We start from the raw sequence: 27,969 nt of genomic DNA, 5'->3' as shown, positions 1-27,969 counted from the left end.
TTGGGCTGGAGCTAGAAAACTCAGGAACATTCAAGAATATTCTCAGCATCTCCTCCTCTTTTGTACCTCCAATAACTGGCTTCTTCGCTTCTGTGTATTTCCTATTCATAACTTGGCTTGCAAGTAGCTTTGGTTTGCCATGGCCCTAATTCCAATTTATGGCATCCTTATTTTTTTCAGTTCCACTGGTAAATTCTCTCCATAATTCTTAGCTGAAATTCCCAGTCCATGGCCAGCCTGGTGATTGGCTGCCGTTGGATCCAGTGTCCACTCTAGTCCAATCAGCTCTGTGCTGGTGGGTCAGATGGCTTAAAACTTGGCCACTTAAGCAACACAGTCCACGGGGAATGGGTTGCAGGTATTCTGGGGTTAATCGAGAGAGGGATTCAGAGTCACGGATTGTCTCAGCCATGGAGAATGAAGTATGAATCACATTGGAGGAGGTTATTACACAAAGAAAAAGATTTTATTGTCTTCTTAGTCAATATCCCTGGTGAAATTAGAGGCATAGCTTGAGACTGGTGACAGTGCAACACAGACCTTCAGGAGCTGCTTTGAGGACTGGCCTGCCCAGATGCCTGCTGTTAAGCCAGCAGCCCCCTCACTCCGGCCCCTGCCATCTTGACAGATGGAGCTGCCATGGTTTCAGGGACACTCAGCAGGGCATCTGGGTTGGTCCCTCCCACATGGACCTTGTAAAGTTGCTATTCAGGGGAACCTGGTATCGTTTCAGGCAAAACACAGAACCATATTAGCACTTCTAAGCCCCCTGCCCCGGCCGCCTCCCCGGAACATTTGGGCTTGTCGCACATTCCAGGAGGGAGCAGGAGCACAGCTGCAGCCACAGCTGCCAGGAACAGGCCTGGGCTCCCGCCCTGTGTGGGGGGAGGGCAGAGGCTGAGGGCTTCCTCTGGGGGCCCTGAGTAAGCTCACCCTCACCCCACCTCTCTGACTTCATCCATCCAAGGCCGCTTGGCCAAGAGCCCAGGCAGGGTGAGGGGCTGTCTCCCAGACCAGGCCTGGGCTGCCTAGCAGAGGTGGGGGAGGGGGAGCTTCAGGCCTAGCCCAACTCTCCAGAAACCAGGGGTAGCCTGCTGAGCTCTGAAATGCCAGAAGTTTAAGAAAAGAGGGAAGGGGGCAAGAGGTGGTGGTGGTAGTGGTACTTTGCTATTTAAAGGTAGAAGAATGCAAGGAAGTAAAACTTTTTTTCTCCATTTGTTGTTTGGCGACCCCATTGGAGAATTCCAGGAGGCATGCAGGATGACATCATGTTTTACAACTGAGAAATCTCAGTAATTCTGTAAAATGGAGTCCCTGCCTGCTCCATGTTCCTGATGGAAGCTGCTTTGTATTTATGTGCTTAAAGCTGTATTTTATGTCACATTTAAATGAGGGTTTAATAATCTTAATTATCTACCAAAAGTAGATTACGACGCATGAAGATCACATAAAATGAACTTCACTTCTCAGCATCACAAACATTTGGAATACAAAAAGTCCAGGGATGGATATTAGAAGTAAGAAAAGTACAAAAGAGGTTTGCTTAGAAATAACAAAAAATTAAAAAAAAAAAACGGATCCCCCCTCCCCCCAATCCAAATAATCGTGGTCTAGGTAACCATCGGGGTAAATGCTTCCTTTGCTCACTCCTGTAATAAGAATGAGCGCACACAGAACTGTATGTCCAAGTGTGTGTGCCAGAGACGCTCACATGCATCACACACACAAGCACATACACCCACAGGGACAGACGCACAGCCAGGTTGTGGTGGTTCTAGGCACTTCATATCCACGTTCTTAAGTCTGCCACCTTCCCATTACATTTAACAAGTTACTTCTTCGGCGGCAGGACGTTTTCTTCGAAGAAGCCCTCATTGACAACATTCCCCGCTGGGAAGTATCTGGCCACCACAAAGGAGGACCCGTCACTTGCGGACGCCTTCCCCACGCCCATCTTCTTGGTGTTCTTCCATACCATGGCCGTGAAGTGTCCTGTAGGGGAACGGGCAGAGGGAGAGGGACACGGCTGAATTAGCAGAGCCTGAAGAAGGATGTGGCAGGGGATTGTTGAACCCCTGTACCATCTTGCCAGGCTCAGGTCAGCATGGTCTTCACAGACCCCCTGCAGGGGAAGGAGAGAGAAAACACTCTGACTGCCTGACTTCTTTTTTTTTCCCCCAAGATGGAGTCTCGCTCTGTAACCCAGGCTGGAGTGCAGTGGCATGATCTTGGCTCACTGCAACCTCCACCTCCTGGGTTCGAGTGATTCTCCTGCCTCAGCCTCCCAAGTAGCTGGGACTACAGGTGCATGCCACCACGCCCAGCTAATTTTTTTGTATTTTTAGTAGAGATGAGGTTTCACCATGGTCTCGAACTCCTGACCTCAGGCGATCCACCTGCCTCAGTCTCCCAGTGCTGGGATTACAGGTGTGAGCCACTGTGCCTGGCCAGACTGCCTGAATTCTAAAGCAGGTCCTTTCTATCAGCCACACAGACCTTACCCACCTCACCACCTTCCAACAGTCTCCCAGAGATCACGACAAAGCCCAGTGGCCCCAACAATTAGGATGCCACTCTACTGCCTACTGCCTGTGTCTAACCCTGTCCCCAAGCTGTAATCTTGAAGCTCTCCAGTGATCCCCTTTTGTCTTCATCTTACTTGACACCTGAGGAACACTTCCTACTCTTCTCCTTTTCAAGGCACCCCTCCCCCTTTTGGTTTCTAGGATGCCACAGTCTCTTGCCATTCCTCCTGTCTCACTGCCTCCTCTTCCGCCTCCTCGCCCTCACTTATAGATATTGAAGGACCCACACTTCCCAGGGCTCAATCCTGGGCCCTTTTTTTTTTTTCCTCTAAGCTCTCTTTAGGGAATTTCATCTTTCCCTGGCTCCCAAATTTATTTCTCCAGCTCAAATCACTGCTCTGTGTTCCAGACATAACTAATTACTGGACATTTCCACATGGATGACTCACAGGCATCTCAGATTTAACCTTTCCAAACCTCACTCCCAGTTTTTGTCCCCCTAGATTTATTCCTCTCCCAGTCCTCCCATCTCCATCAATGGTACCTCCATGTGCACACTGCCAGGGGGAGTCTGCATCCCTCCTCTTCTTCCTTTTCCCCACAACAACCTAGTATTCAGTCTTGAAGAATCCAACTCTAAAATGCATCTCAGGTCCACCCACTCCCAAACCCTTGGTCCCAATTGCAAACTTTTCTCACATGGACCATTGCAATAGCCTCCTGACTGGTTCTATGGCATCCACCTTGGCCCCTCAAAATCATTTTCTTTTTCTTTTCTTTTTTTTTTGAGACGAGTCTCACCCTGTCACCCAGGCTGGAGTGCAGTGTCATGATCTCAGCTCACTGCAACCTCCACCTCCTTGGTTTAAGTGATCCTCCCACCTCAGCCTCCCAAGTAGCTGGGACTACAGGTGTGTGCCACCATGCCCAGCTATTTTTTTGTATTTTTAGTAGAGACAAGGTTTCACCATGTTGTCCAGGCTGGTGTTGAACTCCTGACCTCAGGTGCTCTGCCCACCTCGGCCTCCCAAACTGCTGAGATTACAGGCGTGAGCCTCATTTTCTACTTAGTATTCAGAGTGACCATTCTGAGATATAAATCATATCTATTTACTTCCCTGCTTAACAATCCTTCACTCGCTCCCCAATGCACTTAGAATGAAAGTGAATCCTTTGGTGCAGTGGCCTCCTCTCCATTCCTTGAACACACCAGAGTATGTCCCACCTCAGAACCCTTGCACATTTTTTTTCTTCTGTTTTCCTTCTTTCTTCTTCTCTTTTTTCTTCTCTCCCTCCTTCCCTTCCTCTTCTCTTTTTCTCTTCTCTTCCCTTCTTTCTGACAGGATCTCTGTCACCTAGGCTGGATGGAGTTCAGTGGCATGATCATAGCTTACTTCAGCTTCCACCTCCAGGGCTCAGGAGACCCTCCCACCTCAGCTTCCTGAGTAGCTGGGACCACAGGCACATGCCGCCACTGCCGAATCATTTTTCAAAAAGTATTTGTAAGGCCGGGCGCCGTGACTCACGCCTGCAATGCCAGCACTTCGAGAGGCCGAGGTGGGCGGATCATCTTAGGTTGGGAGTTGGAGACCAGCCTGACCAACATGGAGAAACCCCATCTCTACTAAAAATACAAAATTAGCCGGGCATGGTGGTGCATGCCTGTAATCCCAGCTAATCGGGAAGGCTGAGGCAGGAGAATTGCCTCGGTTTCCCAAAGTGCTGAGATTACAGGTATGATCCACCATGCCTGGCCAAGACACCCTTCTGATGACCAACAGCTTCTTGTCCCTTGGTCTTAGCCTAAATATCATTTGTTCAAAGAAGTCGTTTGCAAACACCCTTTTATTTATTTATTTATTTTTGAGACGGAGTCTCACCGTTGCCCAGACTGGAGTACAGTAGCGTGATCTCGGCTCACTGCAGCCTCCACCTCCCATGTTCAAGCAATTCTCCTGCCTCAGCCTTCCAAGTAGCTGGGATTACAGGTGCACGCCACTATGCCCGGCTAATTGTTGTATTTTTAGTAGAGATGGGTTTCACCATACTGGTCAGGCTGGTCTTGAACTCCTGACCTCAGGTGATTCACTCGCCTTGGCCCAGCCAAGTATTGGGATTACAGGTGTGAGCCACCATGCCCAGCCTGTAAACACCCTTTTATTTACCGACCATCTCCCTCCCAAGATATTCTTACCACACCATTTTTTCCCCTATGTACCATTCTTCCCATTTGTGTGATGCATTTGCTTGATTACTTGGTTACTGTTTGGCTCCTTCACCAGGCTATGTGTCCATATGGGCAGAGGCCAAGTTTGTTTTAATCACCAAAATGCACCCAGTACCTTGGCATAGCCTGGCACATGAAAAGTGTAAAATAAATGTTTGAAAGAATGAGTGGAACTGATGAATAAAAGTAATATAGAAGATCCATCTTGGACTCCAGTTCTGCCTTCACTAGAAGTGCAGCATTCTATGTTTTGAGCTTTTTGAGACTTCGACACATTACAGCCTCGTTCAAATCCTTCTGCTCTGAGCCAAACATCTCAGTTCCTTTTCAAGCTACTGCTCCACCCTCCAGACACCACTAGGTCTTGCTGAGGCCTCTTAGCATCAGTCTCCCATTTCTCAGGCTTCCTGTCCTTCACTCGCTTGTCCTTTCAAGCTACGAATATAGCTTAGCTTCCAAATCTCCTCCCATTTGGGAGTCAAAGAGTTGATGCTGTAATGCATTCTTTGCTCAACGATCATAAATTCTTTTTTTTTTGAGACAGAGTCTCTCTCTGTTGTCTAGGCTGGAGTGCAGTGGCGCGATCGTAGCTCACTGCAACCTCTGCCTCCTGTGTTCAAGTGATTCTCATGCCTCAGCCTCCTGAGTAGCTGGGACTACAGGTGAGCACCATCACGCCCAGCTAATTTTTGTATCTTTAGTAGAGATGGGGTTTCACCATGTTGGCCAGGCTGGTCTCAAACTCCTGACCTCAAGTGATCTGCCTGCCTCAGCCTCCCAAAGTGTTGGGATTACGGGCGTGAGCCACCATGCCTGGCCTAAATTCTTATTTCTTGGGGAGTAGAGGCAGATGTTCATCCCTTCCATCTTTATGGTTTAGCATTTACAGAGATCAATGAGACATTTATTTTCTGTGTCACAGGATGGCATTCATTTGCTAAAGCAACACTGAAGAGATTGTTCCCTCCTAAATATCTGGCTTATGATTGGGCAAGCTATGTGAGGGCACGTGCCACATCTGTTTTATTGATCACCATATACCTAGTGTTTAGCACTGGGCCTGGCACATAGTAGATGCTCAATAAACATTTGATGAGGAAAGGAAGAAACGGAGGGAGGGAGGAGGAAAGTCATGATCAGAGTATCTAAGATTCCCATAGGGTGGTTAAGAAAGAAAAAAGGGCAACCACTTCACACTCAGCAGGATGGTTACTATGAAAAACAGAAACAAAAATAATAGAACATAACAAGTTTTGGCAAGGAAGTGGAGAAATTGGAACTTCTGTGCACTGCTGATGGGAATGTAAAATGGCACAGCTGCTCTGGAAGACAGTATGGCAGTTCCTCAAAAAATTAAACAGAATTGCAATGACTCAGCAATTCCACTTCTAGGTATATACCCAAAAGTACTGAAAGCAGGGATTCAGATATTTATACGCCCATGCTCCTAGCAGAGAGGTTGAAAGATTGGCCCAAAGTCACATAGCCCGGTCGGGCGCAGTGGCTCACGCCTGTAATCCCAGCACTTTGGGAGGTTGAGGTGGGCGGATCACTTGAGGTCAGGAGTTCAAGACCACCCTGGCCAATGTGATGAAACCCCGTCTCTACTAAAAATAGAAAAATTAGCCAGGTGTGGTGGCACACGCCTGTAATCCTAGCTACTGGGGAGGCTGAGGAAAGAGAATTGCTTGAACCTGGGAGGCAGAGGTTGCAATGAGCCGAGACTGTGCCATTGCACTCCAGCCTGGGTAACAGAGTGAGACTCCATCTCGAAAAAACAAAAAACAAAAAAAAAACCCACAAAGACACACAGCCCAAGTGTCCATCAACAAGTGAAAGGATAAGCAAAATGTGGGAGATATATATGTATATATGTGTATATATATATGTGTGTGTGTGTGTGTGTGTGTGTGTGTGTTTAACAGATATTATTCAGCTTTAAAAAGAAATTCTGAGGCCGGGCGTAGTGGCTCATGCCTGTAATCCTAGCACTTTGGGAAGCTAAGGCGGGTGGATCACCTGGGGTCAGGAGTTTGAGACTAGCCGGGCCAATGTGGTGAAACCCCGTCTCTACTAAAAATATAAAAATTAGCTGGTCATGGTGGTGGGTGCCTGTAACCCCAGCTACTTGGGAGGCTGAGGCAGGAGAGTCGCTTGAACCTGGGAGGCAGAGGTTGCAGTGAGCCAAGACTACACCACTGCACTCCAGCCTGGGCGACAGAATGAGACTCCATCTCAAAAAAATAAAAAATAAAAAAATAAAAATAAAAAAGAGACTGGGTGTGGTGGATCATGCCTGTATTCTCAGCACTTTGAGAGGCCAAGGTGGGCAGATCAAGAGGTCAGGAGTTCGAGACCAGCCTGGCCAACATAGTGAAACCCCATCTCTACTAAAAATACAAAAAAAAAAAAAAAAAATTAGCTGGGCATGATGGCGGGTGCCTATAATCCCAGCTACTCAGGAGGCTGAGGCAGGAGAATCGCTTGAACTCGGGAGGCAGAGGTTACAGTGAGCCAAGATCACGCCATTGCACTCCAGCCCGGGCAACAGTGTGAGACTCCGTCTCAAATAAAATATAATAAAATAAAATAAATTAAAATAAAAAGGAATTCTGACACGTGCTCTAATAAGGGTAAACCTTGAAAACATGATGCTAAGTGAAATAAGCCAGACACAAATGGGCAAATATTGTATGATTCCATTTATATGAGGTAGCTAGAATAGTTAAAACCAAAAGTAGAACAATGGTTGGGGTGGGGTGGAGATGGTTTCAGGATGAAACTGTTCCACCTCAGATCATCAGGCATTAGATTTTCATAAGGAGCATGCAACCTAGATCCCTTGCGTGAGGAATTCATAATAGGGTTCATGCTCCTATGAGAATCTAACGCCACTGCTGATCTGACAGGAGGCGGAGCTCAGGCAGTAATCTTACTCACCCAGGCTCACCTCCTGCTGTGCGGCCCAGTTCTTAACAGGCCATGGGCCCATACAGGTCCACTGCCCAGGAGTTGGGGTCCCCTGGTCTAAGGGGTACTGAGTTTTAATCTGTGAAGATGAAAAGAATTCTAGAGATGGATGGTGGCGATGATTGCATAACAGTGTAAATGTGTTTAATCCCACTGAACTGTATACCTAAAATGGTTAAAATGGTAAATTTTCAGTTATATGTGCTTTACTACAATTTCTTTTTTTTTTTTTTTTTTTTTTTTTTTAGACATGGCTTCACTCTGTTGTCCAGGCTGGAGTGCCGTGGTGCAATCATGGTTCACTGCAACCTCCAACTCCTTGACTCAAGCAATCCTCCCACGTCAGCCTCCTGTAACCAGGACCACAGGCACGTGCCACTACACCCAGCTAGTTTTTTAATTTTTTAATTTTTTAATTTTTTGAGATGGAGTCTTGCTCTGTCACCCAGGCTGGAGTGCAGTGGTGCAATCTTGGCTTACTGAAACCTTCGCCTCCCAGATTCAAGCGATTGTTGTGCCTCAGCCTCCCAAGTAGCTGGGATTACAGGCGTGCGCCACCATGCCTGGCTAATTTTTGTATTTTTAGTAGAGATAAGGTTTCACCATGTTGGCCAGGCTGGTCTCGAACTCCCAACCTCAGGTGATCCGCCCACCTCAGCCTCCCAAAGTGCTGGGATTACAGGTGTGAGCTGCCGTGCCCAGCCTAGTTTTTAATTGTTTTTGTAGAGATGGGGTCTTGCCATGTTGTCCAGGCTGGTCTGGAGCTCCTGGATGAAGGGATCCTCTTGCCTTGGCCTCCCAAAGTACTGGAGTTACAGGAATAAGCCACCACACCCAGCCTATTTTACTAAAAAATTAAAAAAAGAAAGTAGGAGAGAGAGGAAGAGACTGGTGTACACACTCTTCTAGTTCTTTAGGGAAGAGACAAAGTCGGTCCTTCCCATTGCATCCTGTGTATGGTAAGGACTGAAATAAATGTTTGTAGATTAAATTCTATTTTTTCTCCTGTAGTTAAACTCCATTTAAAACTTTTTTTTTTTGAGACAGTCTCACTCTGTTGCCCAGCCTGGAGTGCAGTGGCACGATCTCATGTCACTGCAACCTCCGCCTCCTGGGTTCAAGTGATTCTCCTGCCTCAGCCTCCTGAGTAGCTGGGATTACAGATGCACGCCACCACATCCGGCTAATTTTTGTATTTTTGGTAAAGACAGGATTCACCATATTGGCCAGGGTGGTCTCGAACTCCTGACCTCAAGTGATCCACCCGCCTTGGCCTCCCAAAGTGCTGGGATTACAGGCATGAGCCACCACGCCCAGCCATTTAAAACATTTTAAAACTTAGCTATAATTTATTTCTTTGTCTACATTGACAGAGGACTGAAAGTTACTAAATTGTTTATGAAAATAATCAAATATAAAAACGAATCCATATAGTTGACATGATACAATTGAAGCAAGAATGAAAAGAAAACAAACCCTAAGTACAATTATGCATATTTGCCACTAACTTTAAACTTGTATTAACTGCTGTTTAATAAACTCTGGTTTCCACCCAGAATAGAGGATAAAGACTGTTTGCCTATTTGCCCTTGGTTCTTAATACGTTTGGGTCACAGCTCCAGGCTCTCGGCAGCCTGGTGTCCCTACTTCTACAGGCCGTTTCCAAAGGCTCAAGTCCTTTCTCACACTAGCCTGCTCTCACAGGAGACCACATGCTTGGGCCATCGACCCTCCCACTCTCTGTCTCCCAGAAAAGGAAGAAGCTGCCATTTATCCACTGGTTGCCAAGAAAATAATTAGACACAAAGTGCACATGAGCAGCACGAGTGCCTGTGGCAGCCTTTTCCAAGCTGATGAGGCTGAGCAATCTTTCTTCTCGCGGGGGAGGTTTCTGTCTGCACAGAGGGAATTAAGCTATGGGTATTCAGAGATGAATTAAATGACACAACTTCCTTAGCAACCATCAAATACACACTGGTTTCTAACTCTAGTCCACTAACGAAGGTTCCTTTTTCTTTTTCCTAAAGGGATGACATCCTCTTTCCTGCTGTGAATCAAACTCCCTAGAATATATCTTTGAAAAACACACCAAATATGTCACAGTATATCCTCGCAAGGGAATAATGTGCAGAGGTAAGAAAGAATGAGCGAGCACTATTTGTATGCTGTGGCACAATCTCTGACAAGCATAAAACAGGTCATACGCTCTGACACCAGCGTGCGGAAAAGGGAAAAGAGAACATTTATACACACATGCTGGTGTAAGCACAGGACACCTCCGGAATGATTCACAGGAAATTGGTATCTCTCGTTGTCTCTTGGGCAGGAAAGTGCTAGGGGTCAGGGCTGGAAAGAAAACTTTTCACCTTCGATAGCTCTCAGTGTTCATATCATATAAAAATATTATTCATCAGGAGGCTAAGGTGGGAGAATCGCGTGAACCTGGAAGGTGGAGGTTGCAGTGAGCCGAGATTGTGCCACTGCACTCAGCCGGGGCAACGGAGTGAGACTCGGTCTCAAAGGGGGGGGGAAAAGATATATATATATAATATATAATATATAATATATAATATATAATATGATAAGACATTGTTTCTCTTCACTCAGCACACAGCGGTGACTGACCAGCATCCTTCATCACAAGATGCTGGCCTGGCCTGGGTGGGGCTGGGGGTGGGGATGGATTACAGGGTATTTCTTCCTATTTTGTTTTTGTTTTTGTTTTTTTTGGAGACAGTCTCACTCCTCTGTCACCCAGGCTGGAGTGCAGTGGCGAGATCTTGGCTCACCACAACCTCCGCCTCCAGGGTTCAAGCAGTTCTTGTGTCTTAGCATCCCGAGCAGCTGAGATTACAGGCACGCATCACCACACCCGGCTAATTTTTGTATTTTTAGTAGAGACGGGGTTTCACCATGTTGGCCAGGCTGATCTTGAACTCCTGACCTCAAGTGATCTGCCTGCCTCGGCTTCACAAAGTACAGGGATTACAGGTGTGAGCCACCGCACCTGGCCAAAGGGTATTTCAAAGGCTCTTTCACCTACAACAAGGACTCAGGTCAGGGAATCCATGAACAGAGATGCAGCAAGGAGGAGTTGCAGACAGGGTCTGGGGGAGGCTGAGGCAGGATGGGCATGAAGATCTTTAAGGGTCCTGCAAGCCCCCATTATGACACCACCCAAAATCTCACTCCTGTCTTAGGATCAGGCTCTGGCTGCCCCCAGGCACTGCCTGTTGGTATCTGGAATAGCACAAGGGCTGGCCGCTCTGGGATTTTCCTCTTTAGGGGTGGGGACAGTAGGGCAATGAGTGAAACGAGTAGTCAGTGATCATGGAAAGTTGGGCTCTGACTCTTGTGAGATTCCTGTTTTGGAGTGGGAGTGCTGGAAAAAGCATCAGATCAGGGACGGAAGGCATGAGAAAGGCTGCTTCCCTTTTCTAGGCCTCAGTTTCTTCCTCTTCAAAATGGGTAGAATAAAGCCCTACTTTCTTTTTTTTTTTTTTTTTTTTGAGACAGAGTCTCGCCCTTGTTGCCCAGGCTGGAGTGGGCGATCTCCGCTCACGGCAACCTCTGCCTCCCAGATTCAAGTGATTCTCCTGCTTCAGCCTCCTGAGTAGCTGGGATTACAGACACCTGTCACCACACCTGGCTTTTTTTTTTTTTTTTTTTTTTTTTTTTTGCACTTTCAGTAGAGACAGGATTTCACCATGTTGGCCAGGCCTGTCTTGCTCTTGACCTCAAGTGATTCGCCTGCCTTGGCCTCCCAAAGTTTTGGGATGACAGGCATGAGCTACTGCGCCTGGCCAAACCCTACTTTCAAATGGTATCCTGATGCTTACGTGGCAGTGGAGGCACCTTTTTTTTTTTTTTTTTTTTTTTTTGAGACAGAGTTTTGCTCTTATTGCCCAGGCTGGAGTGCAAAGGCATGATCTCGGCTCACTGCAACCTCCACCTCCCGGGTTCAAGTGATTCTCCTGCCTCAGCCTCCCGAGTAGCTGGGATTACAGGCATGCACCATCATGCCCAGCTAATTTTTGTATTTTTAGTAGAGACGGGGTTTCACCATGTTGGCCGGGCTAATCTTGAACTCCTGACCTCAGGTGATCCACCCACCTCGGCCTCCCAAAGTGCTAGGATTACAGGTGTGAGCCACCGCACCCAGCCCATGGAGGCACTTTCTAATTACCACGTGGTGCGCACACACACACGCAGAGTGCTAGTTAATAACTTGCTCGGACACATGTCCGATTGCTGAAGAATCTTGCTCATGGGAAAAGCAAATCCAGAAGCTATGAAATAAGAAGTCTTCTGGACACCATCTCTATTAAAAGAAGACAAGGTCCTGCCTACACATCCTTAATCAATAGCAGGAGCTTGTTACTGCTCCCTCCCCACACCCTTAGGTATCCTTGCCCCAGAATCACCTATTCACACTCAAAGCCCTGCCAGCCCAGCCTGGAGTCCTGCAGGGGTTAATGGAGAGGAGGAATGCCTCAGCAGATGCTTCTGCCTCTGCCCCAGAGTCCCAGGAACAATGCAATGCAACATGGTTGCAGAAACCCCCACCCAGAAGGGCGGGCAGCAAACCACAGGAAACGGTGACTGGCGCTGAGAACGTGTCACTTCCTGCTTCTGGAGCACCCCTCTAGAGGGTGGAAGGCCGCAAGGCTCTACTTGTGGGTGGAACAGGTGGGGTAGGAGGAACGAGGTGGGCAGAGAGTCCCTTTTTCTGTTTTCCTGGCACCTTCTGGTCAGAGAAACTCCCACCCACTTCTAACACCATCCTGGGCCCCAGACGCCTGAGTCGGTTTTGAGGAAAGACAAGGAGCCTGGTGAGCCCAGCAAAAGGCAGGGGGAGCCCAGGGCACAGGGCGGCTGCCCAGAGGGACCCCGGGGCACAGGGTGGCCACCCGGAGCTTTCGTCAAGGGAAGCCTTTGAGAAGGGAACATGGACCCACAGAAGGTTCCTCCCTGCACTTGAGTCACCGGCTCTCAGGATATCCCTTAGAAGCCACCTTCTCCCTCTCCCCTGGGAAGAGGGGACAGGAATTGACTCAAGTCCACACAGCAAAGGGTGCCAGAGCTAAGACTAGATCCAGGTTCTCTGCACCCCAAGCTCCTGAACTGCAAACTAGTGCAGAAAGGGGAAGGGAGAAAGCCAGGGAGGCCGCAAGGGTGGGGAAGGGTGTGGGGTGTGGAAGGAGGAGTGCCAGCAGCTTGAGCCTTCTCCTGATGGCCCCAGGGAGCCATGGCAGTTGGATCAGGAGAGCACCAGGGGCAGGGACAATTTTAGAAGTATTGAGGCTGCTGGAGAGCAGGATGGATTGCAGAAAACAAGACTAGACACAGGGTGACCAGTTCAGGAATGAAGCTCCATGCAGCTTTGGAAATCCAGTCTCCTATGACACACTCCATGAATGGGAAGAGCTCTGAGCTGGTGGGGCAGGATTCACCAGCTGGTGGCCCTCAGAGGGAGCAGAGCATGTAGCATGGGGAAGCTGGGGATGTAATGCGGAAAGGAGAGCTTTGGTCTGTGGTCAAGGTCAAGCCAGAGAAATATGGAAGAGATTAAACAGGAAGGAAAGGATTGATTTTTTTAGAGGGCTGGTTCCTCCCTGAAGTCAGACACCCAACCTGCATTGCTGCCCAGGGCCAGGCCACTGGTGAGACCCTGCCACTCACCAGTCCCCGAGGTGAAGCCAGGCTGCTGGAAGTTATAGTTCTTGATTTCACTGTACCATCTATCAGCCACCTCCTTTCCTGTGTGGAAATGACATTGTTCTAAAACTCAGCCACAAAATCCACCCACTCCCTATTCCCTGCATTTTCTCCCATCAGCCCCAAGCCACCAATGCGGCAATTAGACATCTGAGAAAGCCCCAGTCAGCTGACACATCCTGGACGCTGCTTTGCAGACTCAGGGACTCCTGCCCATGAGCATGGCCAGGCTGAAGAGTGGGCCTTCTGGGGGGCTGGGAAGAGCACTGGCCTGGGGTCAGGGAATCTGCACCTATCCCCCACAACCCATACACACTGACTTGCTGTGTAATCCTGGGCAAAGCCTTCCCTCTCTGGGCCTCTGTACAATGAAAAGGTTGAATGCAATGTACTGCAAGGGCCTTCTGATGATGCTCCGAGTTTCTAGGAGACTATACTGTCATCTCACCCCATTTGCAGCTCTTGAAACATCCATATTTGGAAAGACAATCAGGCTGGTAAGCCACGGATCTCCACTGTGGGCAGGAGGGACCTCACCTGGGGCATCCACTGTCCCCACACGTGTTGATATGGGCAGGCGTTTCCCTGGGAGCTGCTGCTCTCCGGGCCAGAGCCAGGAGCGGGGACCTCAGAGCAGTCAGTCTCAAATGTGTGCAAGAATCTTGTTAATGGGCAGATTCTGATTCAGTAGGTCTACAGAGGGACCTAGGATTCTGCATTTCTGCTTCCAGATGCTACTGCTGATCCATGTTCCACACATCAGCCTCACCTGGAGAGCATTTAACAAATACTAATGCCTGGGTCCTTCCTCAGACCAACTGTGTCTGTCTCTGGAGGAGAGACTCAGGCATTTTTTGTTTGTTTGTTTGGTTTGTTTTGTTTTCTGAGACGGAGTTTCGCTCTTGTTGCCCAAGCTGCAGTGCAATGGCGCGATCTCAGCTCACGGCAACCTCCACCTCCCAGGTTCAAGCGATTCTCCTGCCTCAGCCTCCCGAGTAGCTGGGATCACAGGCATGTGCCACCACGCCTGGCTAATTTTTCTATTTTTAGTACAGATGGGGTTTCTCCATGTTGGTCATTCTGGTCTCAAACTCCTGACCTCAGGTGATCCACCCACCTCGGCCTCCCAAAGTGCTGGGATTGCAGGCGTGAGCTACTGTGCCCAGCCTGGTATTTTTTTAAAGCTCCACAAAAGATTCCAATGTGCGACCAGAGTAGGGAAGCACTGTCTCAGAGACCACCTACCCAACCCCCTCTCTGTAGAGATGGGAAACTGGGGGCAGAGGAGGGAGGGACCTGCTCAAGGCTCCCGAGGGAGGCTGTGCGAGGCTGGAATGGACCATGTCTCCTGAACCTATGCCCTTCTCCCGGGGCCCATCGAGGGCCACAGCCTGGACTTGGGAAGGAGCCTGCAGGGTGAGGGCAAGGCCTTGGAGGGAGGGGTGGGTAGGGGGTTCCCCAGGAGTTCACACATGCCTCCCAGTGGGGGTGCCAAGGACCACGTTGCACAGGAGCCCTGGCTTAGGCTGTGCTGGGGAAACCAAGAGGACTTGGGGGATCTCCCAGGAATGTGAGGCTGGGGAGGGAGTGAGTCATTCTCCCACTGGTGTTTGGAGAAAGCTTCAGAGATCCAGACAGCTCTCCAATATTCTTCCTAAAAAGCCACATCAGGGCTGTCAGGGCCAGAGGGCCAGGAAGCTCAAGAATGTCTGGGCAGCATGGTGGGATCATTCCAGATCGAGACCTTGCATGGAGACATTGTCTTTTCCATTATTATTTTTTTTTCCAAAATGGAAAAAGCTCTATTGCTTTTCTCCTATTATAAAAGTAATACACCAGCACTACTGGTAGTGTATCACCAGTACGGTAAGAAAGTAAAATTTCTCGGGAAGAAAATAACATTTCTCAGTAGCTGGGGATGCTCTGGTGGACACAGAATCAGGCTGAGATTCTGTACAAAAGCGGTCTGTCTCCCCAACCCCCACTCCTCGGCCTGGGAGCTTCTCCGAAAGTGGGGGCCTGGTCAGTCTGACTCATCTCTGTGTCCCTGGCACCCAGCACAGGCCTGGCACTGAGCCAGCCATCAGAGACCTTGTGGTGAACTGAAGTCAGCCTGGGAGCAGATTCAGAGAGCTCTGGTTTTTCTTTCCTTTCCTGGGCCTGTGGCTACACCACGAGGGTGCTGGGGCCAGGAGGCATTTCAGGAGGACTTGTCCTTCTTCCAGCTCCCGCAGAGAGGAGAGGAGCTGAAAATGCGACCCACCTGTCTGATCATAGGATGCCCATGCAAGGTTCTCCCCACACTGGCCACGGCTGGACTCCGGGCTGTGCTTGAGGATCCTCGTGCTGGCCAGGGCCTCAGAATACCTGCAGAGTTCACAGCGCCTCCTCAGAGCAGGTGCAGTTCAGGGAACCCCCAAAGTATGTGCCCCAAGCTAGTGTGGCTGAGCTTCCTTCCCTGCCCCGGGCTCACAGAGGAGCACCACTCTTGCATGATTTCTGAGCCTCCCAGCAGTCCCATTCCACAGAGGAACAAGTCGAGGCTCAGGGGAACTAAAAGGACCTGCCCAGGTGAGTGAGAGAGTGGTTATTCAAGTGTGGTTATATCTGATCCCAAAACCCGGTCCCCAAAACCATGCAGGGCCCCCCAACGTTTTTTTTTTTTTGAGATGTTGTCTCACTCTGTCACCCAGGCTGGAGTGCAGTGGCGCAATCTTGGTTCACTGCAACCTCCACCTCCCGGGTTCAAGCAATTCTCCTGCCTCAGCCTCTCGAGTAGCTGGGACTACAGGCCCATGCCACCACACATGGCTAATTTTTGTATTTTTAGTGGAGACAAGGTTTCACCATATTGGCCAGGCCAGTCTTGAACTCCTGACCTCAGGTGATCCGCCCGCCTTGGCCTCTGAAAGTGCTGAAATTACAGGTGTGAGCCATCGTGCCTGGCCACAGGGCCCCTTTGTGACTGCAGTAGCAGCACATGAAGGGCCAAGTTACCCGGATGTGCTAGGGGACTCACTGTTGAGCCTCCCGGTTGAGGTTCTTGCAGAGCTTCAGTGGGGGGACGCCGTGCTTCTGCCGGTACTCATTGTGGGCCTTCAGGACCTCATTATGAAACTGTTTGGAAGCTGGAATGATTGCAAAATGGAGAATGGCTCAGTGCAGAGAAAACACTCATCAAAAGTATAATGGCATGCTGAAAGCAACACCCAGCTCAAACCTTAGGCCATGTGGACAGGCTGCTGCTCCCCTCCAACACCTGGCACCCCAGCCAAGTGGCCCTGCTCCACGCCACTGCTCACCCTACCTGGCATCGCGCTCCACATCTCTGCACATCTAAAGCCCGTGGATCATGTGGGGCCTTATGGGCCCTGTTAGGCATTTGGGTCTTTATCCAAGGCAATGGGAAGCCACTGAAAGGGAGCAGGGCAGTGAGCTCCATGTGTTTCTCAAAGACCTTGCTGGCTGCTGAGTGGAGGATGCACAGAAACACAGAGCAGATTTGGGGACCTGGACAGTCAGCAATAGGACTTTGGAAGTAAAATATCTGAAGGAGACCGGGTATCTCAGGCTGGACCTAGGGAGAGCAGAGGGGACTGGAATGGGCCAGAGCTGGGAGTCCAGAAAGAGGCCTCCTGGCTGGGGAGGAGGGCACCTATGCTGGGTGGGTGAAGCCAAGGAGACAGAGAGACAGACAAAGAGACGAGGGAAGGACAGCCCTGGGGAAGCAGAGTGTGAGGGCGAGTTTTAGGTGCTGACTTGACTGAATTAAGAAATACCTCGAGAATTGGTAAAGCATTATTTTGGGGTGTGTCTGTGAGAGTGTTTCCAGAGGAGACTGGTGTGTGAGTCTGAGTGGGGAAGATCTACTCTCAACGTGGGTGGGTGCCATCTAATCAGACAACCTGGGGACCCACACAGAAACCTACTGCAGGGGCAGAGCCACCGCAGAGTCCCCACTAGGACGGTGCCTAATGGAGCTGTAGAAGTGCAGCCGCCCCAAGACCCCAGAACTGTGGAGCTACCGGCATGTAACGCCCGCCTGGGAAGGCTGCAAGCACGAGGCTTCCACCCGAGAGCTGAAGCCGGACAGCCCTAAGCCATGGGGGTGGGGCTGCCTGAGGCCCTGGGGTCCAACTCCCACTCAGCATGCCCAGGAGGCAGGAGAGGGAATCAAAGAGGATTATTCTCCAGCCTTAAGATTGAATGTTTTCCCTACTGGGTTGTGCACTTACTTGGGACTGGTTACTTTCTTTCCTATTTCTCCCTTTTGGAATGAGAGTATCTATCCTATGCCTGTCCCACCAATGTATTTTGGAATAGATAACTTCTTTTGATTTCACAGGCTCACAGCTGGAAGGAATATGTCTCTGGGGGAATTGTGCCTTGACTCTCACCTGTATCTAATTTAGATGAGACTTTGGACTTTGAGTTGGTGCTGGAACAAGTTAAGACTTGGGGCTATTGGGATGGAGTGAATATATTTTGTAAGTGGGGAAGACATGAGTTTTGGGGAGCCAGGGGCAGAATGCTTTGGTTTGAACGTCCCCTCCAAAACTCATGCTAAAATTTAATTGTCAATGTAACCATGCGGAGGAGTGAGATCTTTAAGAGGTGATTAGAGGGCATTATCACAGGACTGGGCTCCTGGTAAAAGTATGAGTTTGGGCTGATCTTCTCCCCGTCTTGAGTGCTTACTTGCCCTTCTGCTCTTCCATGGGATAATGCAGCATGAGGGCCTCGCCAGATGCCAATGCCATGCTCTTGGACTTCCCAGCCTCCAGAACCGTGAGCCAAATAAACTGTTTTTTAATAAATTACCCAGTGTAATTTATAGCAGCAGAAAATGGACTAAGATGCAGAATAGGAGAAGAGTGTAGCAAAGAAAGTGGAGTTGGTGGGAGGGTGAGTGGTATGATCAGCAGGCCCAGGGCTGCAGTGGGGGAAAAGGTGAAGCCCATGCCCAATTAGGTCATGATCTCAGAAAGGGCAAAGTCAAGGAGGCTGTGGTTAGGGAGAGAATAAGTAGGTGAAGCCAAAAGCAAGCAAGATCAATAGTGAACAGAAGCCATACCAATTTGGATCTGAAATGATCCCCATCCATCCATCCATCCAACATCCTCGAACCATCCATCCATCCAACATCTTCCATTCATCTGTCCATCCACCATTCATCCAACATCATCTATACATCCATCCAACATCCTCCATCCATCCATCCAACATCCTCCCTCCATCTACCCACCCATCCACCTAATATCTTCCATACATCTATCCATGCAACATTGTCATCCATCTAACATTACTCATCCATCCAGCATCATTCATCCATACATCTACCATTCATCCAAGGTCCATCCATCTATCCTCCATTTAACTGTTCATCTGCTCTCTGAGTGCTTCCCCTGTGCCATGTCCCATATTGTGTGCTAAGGGTCCAGAGACAAGTCAGCCATGTGTTGCTCTCAAAGAGCTCCCATACGGAAGGGAGGCAGCCTTGTAAACAGACACTAGCCATGTGATAGGTGCCAAGATGCAGGTAAGCACAGGTGCAAAAGGAACTTGGAGATTAACCTAACATGGGATCAGGAAGGAGGCAACTCCCAATATGAGGCCCCAGAAATATCTGAACAGGGGCTAGCCAGCCAGGCTATGATGAAGACACTGAGCACCATACTCAGGAATCTGGGAGTTCCTTTCTCTGGAAATGGGGGTGAGTTGGATGAGTTCTGAGTGAGGGCCACAGAGGGCCCTTATGCTGAATTGGTCCCATCAGGCCACAGGCTTGTCCCTCAAAGACTGGCTGTGGGTAGTGGCAGGAAGGGTGTGAACCATAAAGGAAGTGCCACTCTCTTCCTCTGCCCCAGCTCACCTTCACTGGTGCCTTTCTTCTACTCTGCTGCCTTTCACCCGAGACTGAGGAGATGATGCAACAGGGAGTCCTAGTCCCTTTTCTCATAGCCAGATCTCCCATGTCTCCTGGGCCAAGTCAAATCCCATGGAATTTCTGAGGAGACGTGAGGGAAAGAAGACCCAGGGCTTGCCTTTGCGGGGTTTGGGGGCTGCAGACCCGGGAGCTACAGACCCAGAAGGTGAAGGTAACTGCAGGTCACACCTGCATGGTGGAGCTGTCCGTGGGCCTTCTGAGAAGGAGGAAGTAGACGCTTAGACAAAGAGTACGCGGCGCAAGCTCTAGAACTTGGGCTCAGTGAGGCTGTCCAGTGAGGTCCAGTCAGAGTAATGTGGGCAGGGCAGGGATATGGGGGCTCTGAACCCCAGGATTTGTGAGGTTTTGGTTGACAGGCAGAGGTGGGGAGACATGGAGGTGGAAACTGATCATGGGGACAGGCATTAAGGCAGAGGGCGGAGCTACAACCTGAAGTATCGGGACTTCCTGGCCAACAGACGGACCAAGCCCTTGTCAATAGGAAAAACAAAGATTTCAGGTCTACAGTGGAGAGGAGAAAAGGCAGAGGTGTTGTTTAACATGTATAGAGTTTCAGTTTTGCAACATGAAAAAGTTGTGGAGCTCTGTTGCATAGCAATGTAAATATACTTAACACTACAGAACTGTACACTTAAAAATGGTTAAGATAATACATTTTATGCTATGCATTTTTACCATGATAAACAAAAAGATTTCAGGGTTAGCATGGTAATGTGGTATTTGGGATAAGGAGTCAGAGAGGCTTTTAAAGAATATCTCACAGGGAAATGCCAGGGGCCATAGCAACTCATGGGACCCAGATGGGGGTCTCGTTGACCAGTTTAAGAAGGGTCAGCTGGGTAGCATGGCCTCCAGGAACCCATGGGTTCTTGGGCCACGGGCTGCTTCCCCAGCCTGGTCCCTGTTTTGTGCAAGAGGCAGTGGTGATTTGAGGTGTGTTGAGGCTGGAAGAGGGGTCTGATGAGGAATTGGTACAAGGATGGGGGATGTTCAGCCTGGAGAGGATCAGCCTCTGGAAGACACGGTGGAGGCCTCTGATGAATTCTGGGGCCCCAGAGGGGAAAGCTGGGGCCAGTGGGTAGAAAGGCAGGATGACAGATTTCAGCTCAGCCTAAGAAAGATCTTTCCTAGTCAAAGCTTTCTGGCGACCAAAAGGAGCTACCTCACAAGGTAGTGAGCTCTCTACCACTGAAGGAATTCAGGCAGGTGAGTCCCTCTTGGAGGGACTCAGGCCTGAGAGTCAGAGGACCTTCAAGTCCCTTCCAATCCTGAGATCCCATAAGGTCCTGCTGGGGTAGGAGTGAGAGGAGACAAGATGAACAACTGACCCAAGACGTGCAGGAGTTTCCCAAACAAGCTTCTCTCAGGAGACGCTGATCAGAACGAGTGTGAGTGTGCGGGAAAGGGCCCGTATAGGTGACACCGCAAAGGTGACGGGGGTCCCCATCTGAGTGGCAGGGTTGTCCAGGCCCATCCTAAAGTCCCTTCTAGCTCCCATGTCCCAGACAGGCCACGGTGGGTCTCGTGGGACACCACGGGAGATGCATGAGGCTGAGTGGCACGTGCAGTGGTGACCACAAATGCGTCAGGAAAGGAGGACTCCCTGGAGGAGGTGTTCCTGGCTCAGGAAGCATGAATGGAGGAGGCAACAGCACAGAAAGAGCCAGGATGAAGGGACCACGTGTATCCTGGGGCTCTGAAGAGGAGGGGGAGACAGAGGAGTAGGTGGCTTGCTAAGGGGAAGCCAGTTTAAAGGCAGCCTGAGTGCTGGAGTCAGTTTGCACTGGATCCCATAGTGCTGGAGGCCCTCAAGTCTCCTCGGCAGAGAGGGACATATAAGGCCGCTAAAAACTAGGTCACTGCACTCCCAGAATATGGGAAGTAAAAAGAAACAAAAGTGAAAGTTCCTGTGTCCAAGCAAAGCTCAATGCCCAGAAGCTGCAGCTAGGCACTGTGTCCGCCAACGCCAGGCTCCTGAGCCAGGGTTCTCTGGAAGGGGCCAGGAGGTCTTTCTGGTAATCGGTGGTGGGGGAGTCCTCTCTCCCCACTCCTGGCTGGGAGGCATAAGGGCCCCACAACCACACCTTGGGCAGCCCCAGGAGTCCCCTCCCACCAGGCAGCCAGTCCTAGCCCAGGTGGCTCCTCTGAGAGGGCCTGCCCCAGGGAGGCAAAGTTATCAGTAGCTGCCACACCTAGCAAGAAGCACACCCTACCCCCACCGAGAAAAACCCAAGAATACAGATAAAGAGGAGGAAGAAAAAGTCAAAGAAAAGTCGTCCATCTCCCAGTTAGGCAGGGAGAGCCCTCCCAGCCACCCTACGATGGGGGAAGGGCAGGGATGACGTCCTTATTTTGTAGGAGGGTAAACTGAGGCTGGAAAGTCCACACGGCCTCAGAGTGCCAACCCTGAGGAATGAGGAAGACGCAGGCTCACCCATCCCGGGCCTGCTTTCTCCTGCTCTGGCCATGTGCTGGGCCTACGCATGATCTTATTTCTCGCCATCTTCTGTGGGAGCTGCCATGACCTTACCCATGTTTTTTCTTTTCGAATTAGGAAACTGAGGCTTGAGAAGGGAAGTTACCTGCCCAAATTCCCACAACTAGTCCAGATCCTATGCAAAGCCCTGTCCTAAGCCCCCACCCCTCCTCAGGGTCACAGGCGACAAAGGGAATGATGGAAAGAGGCAGCGGGTGACTGAGGAGGCCTGGGAGGGGGATCAGGCTCAAGGACAGCTGAGGAAAGCAGTAGAAGAAAATAGACAGGGGTGGCAGCTGACTTCAGATCTCTGAAGTGAACAAAGGAGAGGAAGGAAGAGAAGAGAAGAACGAAGGCTTCTCAAGAGCCTCCTCTGTGCCAAGCGCTTTTCCAGCATACCTGGCTGAGGGACCCCAGGGGGATATCAGGGACTGCAGAGTGCAGGTTACCAGGGGGCCAGACTTGGGACTTAAAATAAAGGTCAGAGCTGCTAAAAGCCCTGGGCCTGGCTCCCCAGGGCTGAGGGAAGGGGCTGGGCTGTCTCTGCTGGGGTGGAGGGTATAGGTGTCCTAGGTGGGGCTGCACTGGGTTCTCGAAGTTCCTTCTGGAGGCCAGGCCTCTACCGCTGGAGGCTCTGTAGAGATTCTGAGGAGGACAAAAAAAAAAAAAATTAGCCATGCGTGGTGACCCACGCCTGTGGTCCCAGCTACTCGGGAGACTGAGATGGGAGGATCGCTTGAGCCCAGGAGATCGAGGCTGCAGTGAGCCATGATCGCACCACTGCACTCCAGCCTGCGTGACAGAGCAAGACCTTGACTCAAAAGAAAAAGAAAAAAAAGATTCTGAGGAGGTCTATGCCCCTCCTCTACCATTTAAACTTTTGGCTGAGACAGGCTCTTCCCTCAGCATCTTCCTCCTCTCCTGAGGCCTCCCTGAGCCCAGCCTGACTCACTCTGCCCTCTCCAGGCTCCTCATGAAAGAGCCAGTGACTGTCAGGGCCCAGGGCAGGAATTGTGAACAGGCCCCCTGCCCCCTTGGCAAAAGGCTGGAAAGCAGCCCGGTTCTGCCTTCGGGGCAAAGCTGGTTTTGCTTGTTTATCAGGAAGAAAGAATAAAAAGTTGGCAGTTTAAGGAAAAAAAAAAAAAGAATGAATTTCAGCTGGGTAACTCCTGCTCTTTAAGCCGGATCCGGGAATTTCAACAGCCAAATCCCCGCACTGCCTTTTACTGGCCATGCGATCTTGGACACGTTGCTTCAACACTCTGTGCCTCCTTTCCCCATACATAAAATGAGAACAGCAGTATCTACCTCACAAGGCTGCAGTGAGAGTTAAATGAATTAATCTATGTAAATGCTTTCGAACTGTTCTGGAATATAATGAACAGGTATTAAATGCCAACTGTAATGATTATTATTACCATCGGACAGGGACAGAAACCTTTTGGGCTTTGGCTTTAGAAGAACCTGTTCCTGCTCCTTCCGGGTCAGGTCCCCTCCTGCCCTGCCTTTACATTGACGTTTGATGGCCTTTTTCAGTCCCTCTGAGCTTGGATATTTGCTAAGTGAATGAGTGAGTGAACAAATGAATGAGGTTCTCACTCCAGCACAGCGAAGGCGGGACAGGATTCCTCTCTTCATTACAGATGAGGAAACTGGGGTGTTTGGATGGTGGGGGGCATGCGCATTGTCCAAGACCACACAGAGCCCACATTAGAGCCGGGTGTAAGAATGCCCCTCCCTTTACCCCCTCCCCTGCTCCAAATCTCCCACACTTTCCACTTTACGAATTGCTTCCTCTTTTCCAAATGGCAAGAATGATGTCTATGACGAGTTGCTCAATTGCTTACGGGAACAAGGCACCCCCTTCCCCCAAGCATCAGCCTCCCCTAGGCTGTCCCTCTCCATAGACAGTGGTTGTAATTGAAGGGGAGGCAGCCATTTTCCAGCCCTGCCTGCCTACTGTCACTCAGGCACATCCCTACCCCTCTGGGCCCCAGGTTTCCCATCTGTGTGTGAAGGAAGGATGACATCTGTGGTTTTCATAATATCTTCAAAGCAGGGAAACCCTTCCTTTGAAGGAAACCTTCAATAAAAGCAACAGATGAAAATGAAACTGCTGGGGTTGGCCTGGCCCACACAGCTTCTCCCTGCAGAGGCCTGAGGGTCCCACTCAGTAGAAAACTCCTGGGCTCGTTGGTCCCTAAAGGCCTCTCTGCTCTGATTTCCTCTGGTGCTAGGTGGATGGAGGGACACTAATATTCTTAGAGCTGATGAGAGGGTGTGTGGAAGTCCCCAGTGGCCTAGAGTTCAGGCTGGCAGGGAGCAGGGTGTCAGGGCAAGTGGTCAGTGTGGGAGAGAGGACAGGACACAGTAGGGGAGTCAGAGAGCTGAGTTCAAATTCACTGGCTTGCTTACCTGTCAGTGTGTGAGCTTGGGCAAGGTACTCAACCTCTGTAAATCTATAGAATGAGTTGATAATAACTGCCTGGCAGTGCTGTCACTAATATGGTAACATAGAAAATACTGAGCTCTTTGCCTGGCATGCAGTTGAAGATTAATCATTGGTGTCACCAGTATTAGGGACAGGAGGCTTCCACTGAGCCCAAGGTCATTGCCTTTCTCTTCCCCACCACACTTGCTGCACACCAAGTCCCAGCAGAGAAACCACAGCTGGGAGCAGGATCTGGGAGTCTTCGATCACTAGGCCAAGCGTCTTCTGGAATTTCAACTGTGCCAGCTGTGTGATGATTTTACAATAACGCCTGTTATGCCAAGCAGCTCTGGGGTGTATCTGAGGTTAAAGATGAAAAAGAGACTGGCTCCTGTGCAGTGAGGAGGAAACTGAGGCCCAGAAGGGGCAGGGACAGATTCCTTATGATGGTCTTTACAGAAGCACACAGAGCCCCTGTGAGTGCCACCTGCCCTATAGACACAGACAGCAGCCCTGGGCTGACGGCCTGGAACTTCAAGGTTGAGCTTGAGTTGAAGGACCACTGGGCACGGGGTCACCCAGAAAAGTCATTTTCTTTTAGGGACCCTAGGAGAGCCAGATATTAATACTATTCTGGGGGCTCTCGGTTTTCCGGTTGGGGTGGGGGAGTTAAATTAAATGCACGTGACTATGAGGGAGAAAGGCCTGGGTCAGAATTCTGCAAGGTCCCTGGGTGTGTGTGTGTGTGTTAGGGGTGGAGGTGGCCTCTGACTCAACCAGTTCTAACCTGCTTTCTGCCACTGGCCCCCTCCTCTCCTGAGTGAGAAGTAATCTTCCTCTGAAACCTGCCCAACCCTGCATCTCCAGGCATGGAAGCCATCATCCCATCGTGCAGGCCTCTGACCCTTCCCTCTGCTTCACAATAAGTTGTCACCAAGTCTGCCCAAGGCCACCATCTCACAAATCCATCCCATCCTCCTCTCCAGCCTCCACCCTGCCCTGGATGCCTCTGTCATCTCCTGTTTGTGACTGCGGCAGTCTCCCCTATCCTCCCTCCACCTTCTCTCCATCCATCCGATCTACCCTACACCCTGGCAACGCTCTAGTTACGCTGCTTTCAGATCAGTGCCTTTCCATGGCACCCCAGGTTCCATAAGATGAAGTCTAAATTCCCAAGACCCTCTGGGATTTGACCATCTCCTCCAGGAACCCTCGTCGGCTCCCACGCGGAGCAGTCTCCTCACCTTGAGCTCCCACCACCCTTCACCAGCACCTGTCTTGTGGTTTGGATCATTTTCCACCTCTTACTCGAGCCAGATAGTGCCTGTCTATCCCCTACATAGCTTTATGTATTCCTTTCACAATCCAAGTGGATGCACGCCCCGGCACTGGGTCCACAGCTTGATACAGAGCTGCTAGACAGTGCAAGGGAGGGAAGGAGGAAGGGGCGAACAGACAGAAGAATGGGCACACAGCTGAATATGAGCAGTTCTGGAAAACCGTGCCTTACATAAGATGCCAGAAACAACTGATTAAGGTGTAGCCTAGGCTGGGCGCACCTGTAATCCTAGCACTTTGGGAGGCTGAGGCAGGCAGATCATGAGGTCAGGAGTTCAAGACCAGCCTGACCAACACGGTGAAACCCTGTCTCTACTAAAAATACAAAAGTTAGCTGGGCGTGGTGGCGCACACCTGTAATCCCAGCTACTCAGGAGGCTGAGGCAGGAGAATGACTTGAACCTGGGAGGCGGAGGTTGCAGTGAGCCGAGATCGCACCACTGCACTCCAGCCTGGGCAACAGAAGGAGACCACGTCTCAGAAAGAAAGAAAAAAAAAAAGTAGCCTAAGGGAATTTGTGGATTTTCTCCACAAATTTCTACAGAGAAAGGAGTTGATTTCCCAAGCAGATATCTCGAAAGACTCGCTCTCATCTGCCATACTTTTGCTCCATCACCATCTGTCATCCTGTTAACTAAATGGCAACCCATTATATCACCTTTCCATACTGTGAAGAACCCCAGGGCTCATACGGCCACCCTCATTGTACAGACAGGGAGGAACAGAGGGAAGGAGGCTTGCTCAGTATCACACAGCCAGTGATTGGCTGGGCCAGGGCTGAAAGCCAGACCTGCCTCTACAGCCTAGGAAGGCTGGTTAGGACCAAGGCCAGGGAAAGCCACTTGCGCCCAGCGCTGGCATCTCCTGAGTCCAGATCTTGGAGGACAGATCCTAGAAGGGACCTAGCCTTACTCATCTGAAGTGGACAATCCGGATGAAGCAGGACTTCTGAATCCTGTTCAACAGCTGTTCTCTAAGAGCCTCCTGTGAGGCAGAAGCAATGCTGAGATAAACACGGCCCCTGGCAGCCAGGGGTGAGGACCCGGTGGGAAACAGGTCTATGGCTGAACTCTTGTCCCCGGCCCACTACAGGAAGGGCTGCAGCGAGGAAAACACCAGGTTGGGCGCTCCCTCCCGGGGGGAATCACAGATGGGCTCCAGCCCAGGAGCTGAGCCTAGAGGGATGGGATTTTCAGGCTGAGAGTTGGGGTGGTGAAGGCCCGGCAAGGAAACCTAGGGGAAGGGACCTGTGCACCAGCTTCTGGACAGCTCTAGTGTAGGGCGGAGGTAAGGGCTAGGGACCCACTCCCAGGGGCCCGAAGGCAGGACTGGAGTGTGTCCTTTCACTCTGAGGACAATGGTGAGGAAGGTGTTAGGGAGCGACAGGAGGAGAGCTGCGCTGCAGAAAGTTCATCCCGACAGCCACAGTAGAGAGGATGGGGTGCCCCAGGAGAAAGGGAGCCAGACCGAGCCTAGCACAGGGGGAGCCCGGCACGGCGCGGGCGCTCAGGAGAGAAGGAACAACAAATGGATGAGGGGGATGCTCAGGGCTGTCCTCGGGACAGCCGAGCGGGGCAAACTGCTTCGCAGCGAGAGCTGTTGTCACACTTTGGTGACTTTTCCAACTCTAAGTCTGGCCTCCTGAAACAAAGCAGAAGCCACGCCTTGGCGGGCCGCGGCGCGCAGCCCCTCAGGGTCGGGAAGCCCAACTTGGCGCGATCCCCGGCTCTCCGGCGGGGGCCTCCCTCGGGCTCGCCTTCCCCCCGGGTTCCCCGGAAACCGCGCCGGGGCGCTCCGCCCGCGCGCCCTCCACCCGCACCCCGGGCTCCCGCACTCCCCAGGACCTGGCTTGCGGCGGACGAGGGAGACGGCGAGGTCCGGGAGCGCGGGGTTCCGAACCATTCCGCAGCGGGCGAGCCCGCGGGCTCACCTGACTTGCCCATGGCCGGCTCCGCGCGCTCCTCGCTCCCCGCGGCTGCGCTGCACTGCGCTCGCCCGGCCCAGCGCCGCCCCAGAGCCCAGGACCGGGCTGATGCCGCGGCCCCTCCTCCGGCGCCGCCCGGCCCCCGCCTTATAAGGAGCGACAGCTGAGGGCGGAGGCGCCCGGGGCCACCCCGTGGGCCTCCCGGAGAGCTCACCCCTGGGAAGCAGCTCCGCGACTGCCGAGGGCTCCCCGGATGCGGCCGCGGGGCTCAAGCCTCCCGGACCCCACACCGAGCTGTCCCTTCCCGGGGCGCGTGGGGAAGCCCGCGCCTGCTGGGCCCCGGGTGGCTGCTCTGCGCCGACGCGCGGCGAGGACAGAGGGGCGCGCGGTCGCGGCACGAGGGGCGTTCCGGC

General features: G+C 51.1%; 1 protein-coding gene across 13 annotated transcripts, besides 6 other annotated features; it reads right to left on the bottom strand.

Moving 5' to 3' along the window:
* Nucleotides 1–440: 440 nt before the first annotated feature.
* GLIPR2 (GLI pathogenesis related 2) lies at nt 441–27,818 on the bottom strand. Of its 13 annotated transcripts, NR_104637.2 has the most exons (7): nt 27,563–27,621; nt 22,263–22,508; nt 19,313–19,447; nt 16,460–16,568; nt 15,704–15,807; nt 13,405–13,482; nt 448–1,992 (listed from the first exon to the last, which is right to left on the bottom strand). NR_104637.2 is itself a non-coding variant. In NM_001287013.2 (5 exons), exons 1-5 carry the CDS (start codon nt 27,532–27,534, stop codon nt 1,832–1,834), a joined length of 510 nt encoding a protein of 169 aa, NP_001273942.1. In that variant the 5' UTR covers nt 27,535–27,621; the 3' UTR covers nt 448–1,831. The 13 variants fall into 13 exon arrangements, 8 of the variants coding, with proteins under 8 accessions (XP_024303184.1, NP_001273942.1, NP_001273940.1 ...); NR_104639.2 differs by lacking the exons at nt 19,313–19,447; nt 22,263–22,508 and adding an exon at nt 3,751–3,885; NR_104638.1 differs by lacking the exons at nt 19,313–19,447; nt 22,263–22,508; nt 27,563–27,621 and adding an exon at nt 27,771–27,818 and having other exon boundaries at nt 441–1,992.
* Nucleotides 1,442–2,022: an enhancer, noted in NCBI's record as "H3K27ac-H3K4me1 hESC enhancer chr9:36162329-36162909 (GRCh37/hg19 assembly coordinates)". NCBI's record gives its function as "activates a minimal SCP1, AML or CMV promoter by ChIP-STARR-seq in naive H9 embryonic stem cells {active_cell/tissue: H9 hESC(naive)}" and the evidence as "EXISTENCE:reporter gene assay evidence [ECO:0000049][PMID:30033119]".
* Nucleotides 2,023–2,603: an enhancer, noted in NCBI's record as "H3K27ac-H3K4me1 hESC enhancer chr9:36161748-36162328 (GRCh37/hg19 assembly coordinates)". NCBI's record gives its function as "activates a minimal SCP1, AML or CMV promoter by ChIP-STARR-seq in naive H9 embryonic stem cells {active_cell/tissue: H9 hESC(naive)}" and the evidence as "EXISTENCE:reporter gene assay evidence [ECO:0000049][PMID:30033119]".
* Nucleotides 15,379–15,458: an enhancer, noted in NCBI's record as "active region_28346". NCBI's record gives its function as "activates an Ori minimal core promoter by ATAC-STARR-seq in GM12878 lymphoblastoid cells {active_cell/tissue: GM12878}" and the evidence as "EXISTENCE:reporter gene assay evidence [ECO:0000049][PMID:35858748]".
* Nucleotides 15,799–15,848: an enhancer, noted in NCBI's record as "active region_28345". NCBI's record gives its function as "activates an Ori minimal core promoter by ATAC-STARR-seq in GM12878 lymphoblastoid cells {active_cell/tissue: GM12878}" and the evidence as "EXISTENCE:reporter gene assay evidence [ECO:0000049][PMID:35858748]".
* Nucleotides 27,320–27,369: a silencer, noted in NCBI's record as "silent region_19889". NCBI's record gives its function as "represses an Ori minimal core promoter by ATAC-STARR-seq in GM12878 lymphoblastoid cells {active_cell/tissue: GM12878}" and the evidence as "EXISTENCE:reporter gene assay evidence [ECO:0000049][PMID:35858748]".
* Nucleotides 27,400–27,969: a silencer, noted in NCBI's record as "silent region_19888". NCBI's record gives its function as "represses an Ori minimal core promoter by ATAC-STARR-seq in GM12878 lymphoblastoid cells {active_cell/tissue: GM12878}" and the evidence as "EXISTENCE:reporter gene assay evidence [ECO:0000049][PMID:35858748]".

Source organism: Homo sapiens, chromosome 9, assembly GCF_000001405.40.
Source record: "Homo sapiens chromosome 9, GRCh38.p14 Primary Assembly".
NCBI lineage: Eukaryota > Metazoa > Chordata > Mammalia > Primates > Hominidae > Homo > Homo sapiens.
The sequence above is the reverse complement of the archived record's forward strand: the minus strand, read 5'-3'. Positions and strand labels throughout refer to the sequence as shown.

Coding starts and splice junctions, on each gene's coding strand:
- GLIPR2 (NM_001287013.2), bottom strand. CDS start 27,534: ATGGTTCGGAACCCCGCGCTCCCGGACCTCGCCGTCTCCCTCGTCCGC. Junction 16,569..27,476: donor CCTCGTCCGCCGCAAGCCAG/GTCCTGGGGAGT, acceptor CAATCATTCCAG/CTTCCAAACAGTTTCATAAT. Junction 15,808..16,459: donor CTCAACCGGGAGGCTCAACA/GTGAGTCCCCTA, acceptor TGAACTCTGCAG/GTATTCTGAGGCCCTGGCCA.